This window comes from Homo sapiens, chromosome 6 (genome assembly GCF_000001405.40).
Source record: "Homo sapiens chromosome 6, GRCh38.p14 Primary Assembly".
Taxonomy (NCBI): Eukaryota; Metazoa; Chordata; class Mammalia; order Primates; family Hominidae; genus Homo; species Homo sapiens.
This window is the reverse complement of record NC_000006.12, coordinates 165,683,747-165,696,010: the sequence shown is the minus strand read 5'-3', so window position 1 is coordinate 165,696,010 and position 12,264 is coordinate 165,683,747. Positions and strand designations below refer to the sequence as shown.

Below are 12,264 nucleotides of genomic sequence, written 5' to 3'. Positions count from 1 at the left end.
GGGACTCTCTTCCTCTCTTTTCTTGACTTCACACAGAGGTTCAACCCCACTAACTGCCTTGCTGGCTGATTGCCCTGGGTGTTTTCAACAGTGCCCTGGAGCATAAATTGCATTACAAACATCAAATTCTGGCTCCTTGGAAGGAACAGTTTCTAAGGTCAACGTTCGATATTTTTTCTGACCTCAAGAGGACTCCTGCCAGATGTCTCATTCCCCGATTCTCCCTTGTGCACTAGCGAGCCTACCATCTAGGCTGTCTTTACAGTAGATGCACAAATCTCTGCCCAGTTGCCTTTCACCACAACTCCACTGTTCTTGAGAGTGCCCTCAGGTTTAACCTCCTCCAGACTGTGTTGCACATCAAGTCAGTTCCTCTGCGAAGATACAGGAGCTATCTGTTTTACAGCCTGCACCTCTCCCCCACTCCCAACTTTTTCACCACACTCATCTGGTACTTAGCCTCAGCAACAGGCGGCAGGGCATGAGGGGTTAGGGGACAAGATGAGAAGCCCTGAAGTCCTGCCCCTCCCAAGGAGGAAAGTCCTCCAGCTGGGTGCTGGGGAGGGCCCTGTGTTCTTGGCTGCAGTCTTTGGCATGGACTCCCCACCTCCCTGAGCTGGGAGAAGGGAACAGAGGTGCATTCTTAGCTCAAATAGCACAGACTCTCACCATTCCTACCAGATTTTGATAGATTGTCTTGAAAAGAGATTTTGTCATTTGCTGTTTGCTCCTTCTACCATTTCCAGAGGCTATATGTTTTTTTGTTTTTGGTTTTTGCTTTTCTTTCTTTTTTTTTTTTTTGGTAGTTTTCACCAGGCTCACTGGGGAGCAACTTCAAGGAGCTCCTTACACTGCCATGCTGGAAGTTGGTCTCTAATTTACTCACTGTTAATATTATGCATATTGTTTGTCTTAGGGAAAATAAGTCTTATGTCTCTATATAGAAAATTGTTTACTTCCGGGGGAAATGTGTTAGAGAAATGTGGCTATAAAATAAATGTAATTTTCCATTGACTTCATTTTCACATAAGAGACTTATTCCTGGGGCGGGAGAGAGGAGAAATCCTGTAATGGCCTGAATTGAAGGCTACGGAAGACATGAGGAAGCTGAAAACTTGTTACTATCCTGTTTTTAGGGAGGTAACACTCTTGATCAGTTGCTTTTGTTTTTTGTTTCTGTTTCGTTTGGGAGCCTGATTTTGTTCTAATTTTGCATTTTCTCTTTACCATCAACATTCCCTTCTCATCTATCCTCTGTCCCAGATAATTTAAAAATAAAACAAAAGCTACTGGGTGAATTTTTTTGACACATAGGAGCTTACAGCTGGACAGAAATTTAAGAGAGCATGGCATGTGATATCTGCCTTCTTTATAAACGAGGCAGCAGCGTCCACTGTGGTAAGCAGCTCAGCTCAGGTAGCAGAGAGATGGGGGGAGTCCCGGTCTCCCGACACCGCCCGCTGCTCTCCTGCCCCACCTGTGGCTGTGATAAGACACTTAGGGACTCAGAGTTGAGGAGCAGTGAATGCAAACGCTAGCCCTGCAGGATTCCACGCCATGCTTGTGCATCTGACCGCTGCTCTGCCCCATGCCAAATGGTTCGTCCTTGTCTCACTGTTGCTGGCTGTGCCCGCAGCCCACTTCAGTTACAGCAGTGCTAATTGAGGCAGGCTGCCCTCTCTCATGGTCCCGTGCCTGTGGCCACTGCAGTTAAACGTGGTGCATAATGGCCTGAGAATTGTTTAATTATAAGGCTGAGGGTGATGTTAAACAAAATAAAGGATTCTCTGTCTTTGATTTTGTAAATTTGTCTCTGCATCTAATTAACTTATGATGAGATATACGTGTGCACGGCCCCCAAAGAAAGGAAGCTTGGTATAGAACCAATGCCAAATTATGTTACACTTACAGTCCCTTGAATTATATATTAGCTAACATTTTTGCACATAAGTGTTGAGTGGTTTTGTGAGATGTTTCAACTTGTACCCATTAAAAGTAAAATATTTACTTCAAAGTAGACATGATGAAATCCAGAATAAATTTTATAAAAAGAAAATAAGTTGATTTCCTATCATTGCATATTAACTGGAAAAAAAACTTCTAAAACTGTGTATGAGCATTTATGGGAACACCAGGTACTATTTGAAGCCTGAGAACTGTTTCAGGAAGGCCCCGTGAATGAGTTAGATTATGACCTTTTTGCCTGAAATGAATTGGCCCCAGAAAACAAATGAACCCGGAGATGAATGTAACTGGTGCCAAGATATGGGAAGCACAGTACTGTTCTTTCAGATTGGGGAACATCGTTCAAGTAAATCAGGTTCTCAACACCAATTACTAAACAGCTCTTAAACAATAGTTGTAGGTTTTAAAATAATAGTGTAGAAAGCATCATGATGATAACATGGAGAATTATGCTTGTCTGCTATTTATATTTTTTAAAATTCAGTGCACTCGGTTTTTTTTTTTTTTTTTTTTTTTTGGTGGAGCCTCCCTCTGCCGCCCAAGCTGGAGTGCAGTGGTGCCATCTCAGCTCACTGCAACCTCTGCCTCCTGGGTTCAAGCCATTCTCCTGCCTTAGCCTCCCAAGTAGATGAGACTACAGGCATCCACCACCACGCCCAGCAAATTTTTGTATTTTTAGTAGAGACAGAGTTTCACCATGTTGGCCAGGCTGATCTTGAACTCCTGACCTCAGATGATCCACCCACCTAGGCCTCCCAAAGTGCTGGGATTACAGGCGTGAGCCACCGTGCCCGGCCTCAGTGCACTTTTAAATGTTTCACTCAACTAATGATTTCACATCCTATTCATCTGAAACAATGCAGATGAGTATCTGATATAAACATTGCACAGCATCCAGAGTGAAACCCAAATCACTACATCCAGGAAATGGATTCATAGATTCAATGTTTCAAACAAATTGGAGGACATCATGATTTTTTTTAAATTAAAATGTGACACCTAGCACTGATATATCTTTTAAGCTGTTAATGGTTATCCAGACTGATTCTATCCTCTCTTTGATGTTAAAAAATAAGGGAGGGACAGTTTTCTGCAAAATCTAAAAATGATGTAGGATTATCTCTGCCGTACAGACACTGCGGATTTAGTCAGAATTTGGAAATAAAGTGCAGTATTCCGCTTCTCCTGTTTGTATTAGACAATACTTTCCCTAATGTATTCCCTAGTGTAAGAGTGTTTATTCCATTAGGAAAGAAGGGAAAGGTGGATACAATATGATTTAAAATGCATAAGTAATTTCTAAATACACATTTTCTCCCTACACATAAAACCTGCTGTCTAAGGTTAGCAGGGCATGTCTGTGTACAGCATGCGTTACTGCCGAGAAAATGCTTTCTGACTGAGGGTTTGAGGAGAAACTCTTCTCTTGATATATTTAACCAGTAGGCTTTAGCCACAGGACAGGCACGAAGACCAGCAGGAGAGAGGGGGCCTGGAATTCTGTGACTGTGGGAGTAAAATGGGCCCAATGTGGACAGACAGGCTTCCTGGGCCAGAGTCCCAGAGGCTGAGAGCCCAGCGCTGCCAGAACAAGCAAGTCCCGGTAGTGACCAAATGATGACGATGGTAGGGCAGAGGCTGGAGGGCCCAATGTGTGATGCTGAAGACGTGGGAAACCCTGCAGCTCCTCCTGCTTCACCCACCCCTCTCATCTGATCTGCTGATCTGAACACAGTGAGAATTTAGCACGCTTGATCCCAGCCTCAGGCTCCTTTATAATCTCACCATGGAGGATAGGACTTATCAGCGCTCCCCTTAGGTGTGGATAGAGCAGAGAGGCTGAGCAAGGTATAAGCCCACGCCTTCCTGTGGCGTCCCCACCCTCCCTGTCACGCTGCATGGCCTCCCTGCACTCACCGGCCCAGGAACCAGGTCTATATTTGAGGATTAACCCTGTGACTAATTAGGTACTTTTAAAAATCAAATGTTTTAACTTAAAATGACAAAGAGATAGGGGCCTACTCAAGAGATGATTCATGGTAAGGAATTCAAGGGGTGACATAAGCTGCCTGCTTATCAGTTCATTCAGTGCACATCCAGAAAGTGTCAAGGGTCTAACACAGTTCATCAATTCCACAAGGATGTACCGAGTGCTTGGGTGAAAAGCGTAAGATGAAATGGTTAACAGGACCAGCACTTCCACCCACTCAGAGTTTATTATCTGATGGGGACACAGGACACGCAGCCAGGCTGCCTCAGGGCTGAGTGGTGCCTGCTGAGCTGAGAGGCGAAGGCATGGCCACCTGGGAGGAACAGGCTTGGAGGCTCCAAGAAGGTCTCCTGAGGACATCTGCACTGAGGCACCAGCAGGAGTTGGCCAGTGAATTAGTCAGGACTCTCCAGAGAAACAGAACCGATGCTGTGTGTGTGTGTGTGTGTGTGTGTGTGTGTGTGCGCGCGCGTGCATGCGTGCGCATGGGCACGTGTACAGTCACACATCACTTAATGATGAAGATGCATTCTGAGAAATGTGTTATCAGGCGATTTTGTTGTCTAAGAACATCACAGAGTATGCTGACACACGGCTGGATGGCACAGCCCACTACACACACAGGGTCTATGGTATGGCCTGTTGCTCTTAGGTTACAAACTTGGACGGCATGTGACTTTACTGAATCTGTAGGCAACTAGGATATGGAAATACAGAAAATGTACAGTAAAAATATGGTATCATAAACTTATGAGGTCACTGTTGTATATGTGGCTCATCAGTGACTCAAATGTGGTTATGTGATGCCTGACTCTGTGTGTGTGTGTGTGTGTGTGTGTGTGTGTGTGTGTGGGGAGAGAGAGAGAGGGAGAGAGAGAGAGAGAAAGAAAGAGAGAATATTACTGTAAGGAATTGGCTTATGTGACCACAGGCACTGATGGGGGGGGGGAGAGAGAAAGAGAGAGAGAGAGAGAGAGAGAAAGAGAGAGAGAGTATTACTGTAAGGAATTGGCTTACGTGACCACAGGCACTGAGGAGTCCCAAGATCTGCAGTCAGTGAGCTGGAAAGCCAGGAAAGCTGGTGTTGTAGGTTCCAGTCCAAGTCTGGAGGCTTGAGAAGCAGGAGAGCAGTGGCCCCCACCAGGGATGCCAACCACTTTACTCAATCTACAGAGTCAAATATTAGTCTCTCCAGAAGCACCCTCATGTACCTACCCAGAATAAAGTTTGATGAAATATCTGGGCATCCCGTGGCTCAGTCAAGTTAACACATGAAATTAACCTTCATGCCAGATAGAAATGGGGTGTGGGTGGAACAGAAGCACCTGGTAAGAGCTTGTGTGAATGCCTTGGAGGCAAGAAGTACCAGCACATTCAAGGGACTGAGAGCATTCTGTGCACTGGGGAGTCTGCAGGTGTGGGAGAGGAGGCTGGAAGCCCCATGAACATCCTATCACCATCCTACCAACCCATCATCAAGTTTGGACCTGCCTCCAAGAGCAGAGAGAGTCATTGCAGGGTTTTGAGCAAGGGAGGGGCATGACCAGAGTTGCCATTTCCAGAGGCCAGTCTGCTTTATAAAGGAAAAGGAACTGGAGGAGAGCCAGGCTGAAGGCAGGGAGACCAGATGTTAGGCAGGGAGAGTAATAGAATCCATCAAAACATTTGCCGTAAGAATTTGAGAGAAATGTACCAGAAGAAAGGTGATGAGCAGCCCAAAGCTGAAGGCTATTTCTTTTTCATTGAAAGAAAACCATGGAGAGGACTGGAGTGGAGACCATGGGATGAGTTCCAAACTTATGGGGAAATTAATAACAGTCCCCGCAGAGTTGACTGAGCGGAGTTCGGGCTGAAACTATTTCATGCTGAAGTGGATGGAGGTGGCACACGGAAGAAGAATCATAAGCTATGGCATGAGACAGCCCTGGATTCAAATCCTACTTCTTCCTATTCTCTGTGTGACCAAAGAGAATGACAGAGCCTTACCTAATAAGACACTCGATATTCTATAGTTAACTAGCCCAGCAAGTAAATCATAAATTGCATTAAAAATGTCTTGTTAAAAAAAAATGGTGAAATTAAAGTATCTTACTTATTTGGGAAAGCTATGAGTGACTCACGGATACATGCTGAGTGCTCACATTGTACTCACCCGGTGGCAGAACTGGACATTGCATCAGGGTATGAACATTCTCTGAGTCTGTATCTTCATGTATTGAGCTCGTACCATGGGCTGGACACTTTAGCGATTGTCTTAGTCCATTTTGTGTTGCTACGAAAGGAATACCCACGACTGGGTAAGAGGTTTATTTGGCTCATGGTTCTGGAGGCTGTACAAGAAGCCTGGCACCAGCATCCGCTTCTGGTGAGACCTCAGGAAGCTTCCGCTCACGGCGGAAGAGGAAGGGGGACTGGTGCATCGCATAGTGAGAGAGGGAGAAAGAGGGAAGGGGAGGAAGGTGCCAGGCTCCTTTTAACAATCAGATCTCACGTGAACTAACAGAACGAGAACTCACTTACCACCACAGGGACAGCACCAAGCTGTTCATGCGGGATCTGTCCCCATGACCCAAACACTTCCCATTAGGCCCCACCTTCAACACTGGGGATCACATTTCCTCATGAGATCTGGGGGAACAGACATCCAAACTGTATCAGGGACATTTCTCCATTTAACCTCATTTAACCCTGGGAACCAAATGACTGACGTATTTTGCACTCTCTAGGGGATTCATAAAAAGCACTCACACAAAAATGTTGGAAACAAAAGAACATTTAACCCTTGAAACAACACTGGGAGTTAGTGTCGTTTTATCCACTTTAAAGATACTGAAGCTGAACTATCACTTAACCCCACAACGGTTATGTGACTTAACCAAAGTCACACAGCTAACAAGAGGCAAAGCCTACATTGTAACTGGACCTATATTGAACTTAGGGAAAGCCTAGGTCTGAGACATTTTAATGCCAAGGTTAATTCTACATGAATTCCATTTATATCCTGCATAAGCCGTGCCAATGGAGGGTGTTGCTTTCCTTTTTGCTTCTGTTTTTCACTGAACACATCACTTAAAATATTTGAAGAAAAATTTTAATTTATATGACTTGAAATAAAAACAATATAACAAGGCATGCTTTGAGAGGACTCATTCCTCCCCTGCCACATTTCACCACAGTTCCATCTGTACACACTCACACACTCACACAGATACACACACTCATACAGTCACAGACACAGTCACGAAGGGAGGAGGAGGAGAGAGGGCTATTTTTTGGATGGCTTTTTAGAGTTTCTTTATACAATGCCTATAAAGTTTGGCTATATATTGTTCTTCTCTTTGCTCACCTGAAAGGTAGCATAACATAGTCACTGTTCTTCCCCTTGCTTTCTTCCACTGATGATGTGTCCTGGAGATCTTTCTAGATCCATTCCACTACGTATCCAATGCGTGTCCATTCCACTGCCCATCACACCAACAGTTGCGAATCAGAATATGATCCCTGAGCACCATGTCATGAAGCCCCACTGGGCCCATGGAGATTGCTCCTAGCTGGAATTTCCTACTCTGGCTTCAAGTCCAGGGAAGCCCCCTGAGTTGCCCACTACATACCCTGAGGCTTCGTCAATTATACCACGAAACCATTTCAGTACCGGTCCAATATTAGAAGGGGTGGAGATGAACCTTCGGATTTGAAATTAGGTTCAAGTGAATTCCTCAGTTTGCGTTTTTGCTCTCTTGACTTGGTCTGAAAGGCATGTAAACCAATCATCTCTTGACTTGGTCTCAAAGGCATGTAAACCAATCAATCATCTCTTGACTTGGTCTCAAAGGCGTGTAAACCAATTCTCTTTAGATTTTTTAAACTGTATCATTATAGGAGGAGGAAGAGATAGAGGGTGGACATAACTCCTTGAATTCTCCCTTTTACCATAGGAAAATGTGTATCTCTACGTGGCACCTGTGGCATGTTTTCCATGTCTCAGGTGAGAAAACACCACGTGGTCCCTCCATTTGGGGTGTGCGTGTGCTGGCCTCGGGTAGGAGTTCTGGGCGTGAGCCGTGGAGTCACACAGTTGAGCCGTCCTCGTTCACATCTAACTTTGCCACTGACCACTGTGACCACAGCACATCAACCTCTGCGTGCTCAAGCTTCCAGGCCCCACATTTCAAGCTTCCAGGCCCCACCTCACCAGGCTGTTTGAAGATTAAATGTGCGAAAGTTTGGGAAGGGCTTAAAATAATGTCTGGCAAAGAGTAAACACCATGTAGTGTTTGTTTAAAAAGTAAAAGCCTCTCTAGGAGCCTCTGCATCTACGGCTGTGCACTGGGGATGTGCAGCCAGTAGCAGTATTCCATAGGACTGGGTGAGAGGAAGTGCATAAAAACAGCGTAGAACAGGTAAGGCTTGGCACGTTATACAAATGTTAGTTGGTCTTCGTATTGTGTGCTTGTAGAAAGAATCGTTTTTCAGTTGCTCCTTTGGTAACACTATCCAAATACTGAGAGTCAGCATTGAAAGTCACCTTGCTAATGGAACTAGTGGAAGAGTCCAGTTGGTTAAACAATAGTTAAAGTCTGTCTCTGTAGATGGGGTGATAGTTCAGAGCTGAAACTTTTTTCTCACGGTGTTCTCAATGTTGCGACTCTGCAGTTCTTACCCGACTGGCATACAGTGTAGTGACCCTTTACCTTCATGTTAAGGAACCGTCTGTAGCTTCCTTCCCTTTGATAACATTGATTCCCTAGTTAAGAAACCTTCCCAAGCAATGTGGATATGAAACTTTCTCACGTGGATATGAAACTCCCAGTGCCTCTGGGTGCTGTGCTGCCAGCGGCTGTGGTGGTGACGTGGCTGGCATGACGCAGGCAGAGGGGCCCTTCCTGCCAGAGCGCAGTGGGGGTGTAGGCGGCCGCGTGGGCGGATGGAAACGAAGGCGAGGGAGATGGGAAGCAGCCATGCTCTCAGTTGTTTTCCATGTGCTGAAACTTACCACACTTTACCAGGTCTCTCCCCAGCTCTTCTGCAGAGCGATCTGAACAGAACACATTTGAAAAGTAATTTAAGAGAACTATTGTTTTAGCTAGTATAATTCATGTCACTCTCCTTAACATCAAGCTATTGTACATCTTCCCAAACATTACCGAAGCGTACATAATAGCATTTAGTGGAGAAGGTGGCTCTGCAGCTCACACGTTTAGGTAAGAGCCAGGGTCCCAAATGAGCCGCGGAGGTGCTGGCACGTGATGCCGCTCATGCCCGTAAGGACCGACCGGCTAATGAGGCGGTCACGCAGCTGCTCGTGTTTCTGCTCTCAACCAAATGGCTCATGGCTGTTGCACTCTCTGAGGGTTTTATAAAATGCACTTACCAAAAAATGTTGGAAGCAAAAGAACCCATACAAACATAATTCATGATTCGATTGAAAACACTGCTTATGGCCTTGTGGTTCTTTGTTTTAGAAAGTGTGCTCTGCTTTTCTTCTGTGTGATTTTAAACATTGCCCCTGCAAGACCTCTGTGCTCACCGTGGTGTTCAAATCAAAACCCATGAACTAGTCTCTGGGAGTGCGGCCACAGCTCCTGCCAGAGCAACAGCAACAGGATGTTACACCTGAAGGCGGAAAGTAAAAGAGACATCCAACAACAACAAGCGCTGCAAAGAGGAGAACGGGGAAGCCTAAGCAGAAGGTGTGTAGGGAGAGTCCGATGCACAGGGAAATCCAACCAGGAAAGACTTCCTGGGCACCCACAATTCCCCAGCACAAAAGACCGGAGAGTCTGAAGGTTGAGACTCTGAATGCATCACATCTCAGGACCCACACTTTGGAGTGTAGCGAGCGCTGTCATGGATGCACCTCATTGCATGCTAAAGACACAGCCTGTGTGTGTGTGTGTGTGTGTGTGTGTGTGTGTGTGTGTGTGTCCATGCACATTTAAGATTGGGAAGAATGGTTAAAAGGCAGCTAGCTCTGAATTCTACTGCAGTGATTTTCAACCCATCTCCCAGTGAGCCAATATTCACACTGAAGAGTGGCCATCTCTTTCCCCATTCACAAACACAATTAGGCTCATGGACGTAATTTCTTTATTATTAATTTTTTTCTTAATGGCTTCTGTTACCACTTGTCCATACAAATCTTGTATAACACTGAATCAGTCATGTCATCTTATAAATTCTACTTTTAAATTTTATATATCAAAATGTAAGAGTGTTCACAGAGAACATTGTGACCTTCGGTGCTTTGCCCATATAATGCATCTGAAAACATTCCTCCCTCCAGCATCCTCCAAGGACATGGATATATTTTGCCAGCATCTGGCTGGGCTCACCCCAGGTCAGGCATTGTGGATGGTCCTCTGTGGAGTTTCTTTTCTCATAGTGAGGAAGTGCACCTTCAATGGTTGGGTACACAGGTAAAAGAGGAGTGTGGGCTGTGATGGAGAAGCTGCCAGGAACATACACAAAACATTTCCTCCAAAGAAAAGGCAGGGATTCCTGGCTCTGAGCCAATGCAGAAGAACAGGCAGAATTTCCTGATTTAATTTCAATCACAGTTAACAGTGTGTCCGATTTTCTCTTGGTTTGCTTTGCAATCATAATCTGAAGCATACAGAAGAAGCATTTAGAAGAAGGCTGACCACCAAACACACACACACACACAGAATAAAGCCCCAAGCAGAAGGATGCATTTAATAGCCTTTCCATTTGACTCATCTGCACAAGCCACCATTTTGATCTGTTTTATGCTGCTGATGAAATTGTTCTCTTTTGGTGAATTTTCTGAAGTCTATGTTAATAGGCACCCATGAGTCAGTTGCTACAAGATTTAAACAGAGCAGGATTGTTTACTATATTCTTACCTGTGTTGATGAGTCAGGTATTCATAAAATTAAACCCCTGATGAAGAGGAAAATTGACTCTCCTAGAATTCTTAAAGGTATCTAAGGATTCTAAAGAGCAAGGTAGTTTATATCACATAGCGATTTTTTAAGTCTATTTCTTAAACTAGCAGATACATCTAATAAAAAATAATTTCAGAAATGACAGATGTATTACTTGGGGCTAACAAAGGCATTCTATTTCTAGATGGCCATTCATATAACTTTAAGGAAGTCAAGTCGACGTCTCACTGTCCACTTCCTGGTTTTCACAATTATTTTATTGGTTCAGTTGATCACAGTGTTATTCAAAATCTTGAGACCGTGCATGACAGAGGAGATTTTGAAAGAAATTTAAAATTATCAAACACTATATGGAACTTTCATTGTAATTTTCATAAGAAAATATGTTTTGTTAAAAGTCAAACTGCATGCATTCATTATATGCATGTAACCTTTGAATGTGGCCTGTGGGGAAATATCACAAAAATACCCAAATAGAGGTTCTTGAAGTTTCTCCTTCTCACACCACTGGAAGACCTAGTACAAGTAGCACAGTAAGGGGAGAGGCAGCTCAGCGCCTCGGCCACCGTGTGGTGACTCATAAATAATGGGTCGTGTTGCCCATGCATCCAATGAAATGCCAATGCAACTCACATAGCAGTGATGGCAGCCGCGACCATAGCTTGCCAAACAGGAAAGGAGCCACCCAGGAGATGGCGGCTTCATTGTGAGACCTGAGGCGTTATTTTGGAGACATCAATTCGTTCACTTATTCGATGAACAAATATTTATTTATCTCCAGGTGCATGGCTGGAATGGTGCCCATCCACAGTAGACACAAACATTTTTGGAACAATTATTGATTGTGTGTCCATATGGACCAGGCAGTCCTATGTTCTGGGGTATAGCAGTGAGCAAAATACAAATATCCCTGCCCTCTGGGATCTTAGCGAGAGGAGACCAAGGAAGTAAATAATTACACATAGAGCACGCCAGGTGCTGATAAGCATTACAGACAAGAAGGAGGCAGGGGAGGAAATAGGAAGAGTAGAGAGGAGAGAGCCTTGTACTTTTAAATAGTGTGGTCTGGGAAGGCCTCACTGCAAACATGAGTTTTGAGAAAAATCTGAAGGAGGAGGAGAATTTGGGACTCTAGGCAGAAAGCCTTCCAGACAGAGGGAACAGCAGGTGTTCAGGCCTCAAGGCTTCCGTCTCAGTACCTGGTATATCTGAGGAATAGCCAGGAGGTGGTGTGGCCAGAACTGAGAGGGCTAGGATGATGCCTGGGGGTTCCTAGGACACCGGTCATGGAAGTCGTGGAGAGGTGTGGGAAAGAGTAAGCAACAGAAACATAATGAAAAGCTTGATGAGTGACATTTTCAATCGGTGACGTACAAAGGTACCATCTTTGGTTCACTGCCCTGC

At 44.8% G+C, this 12,264-nt stretch overlaps 1 protein-coding gene across 3 annotated transcripts in view, besides 2 other annotated features; it reads left to right on the top strand.

The window, feature by feature from the left end:
- Positions 1-12,264, top strand: part of PDE10A (phosphodiesterase 10A) — a 660,764-nt gene that overhangs the window by 292,042 nt on the left and 356,458 nt on the right. The window lies entirely within an intron of this gene.
- Positions 1,539-2,039: an enhancer, noted in NCBI's record as "H3K4me1 hESC enhancer chr6:166107460-166107960 (GRCh37/hg19 assembly coordinates)". NCBI's record gives its function as "activates a minimal SCP1, AML or CMV promoter by ChIP-STARR-seq in naive H9 embryonic stem cells {active_cell/tissue: H9 hESC(naive)}" and the evidence as "EXISTENCE:reporter gene assay evidence [ECO:0000049][PMID:30033119]".
- Positions 8,080-9,279: an enhancer, noted in NCBI's record as "MED14-independent group 3 enhancer chr6:166100220-166101419 (GRCh37/hg19 assembly coordinates)". NCBI's record gives its function as "activates an origin of replication core promoter dependent on BRD2, BRD4, P300/CBP and CDK7 cofactors, and independent of MED14, by STARR-seq in HCT116 cells {active_cell/tissue: HCT116}" and the evidence as "EXISTENCE:reporter gene assay evidence [ECO:0000049][PMID:35650434]".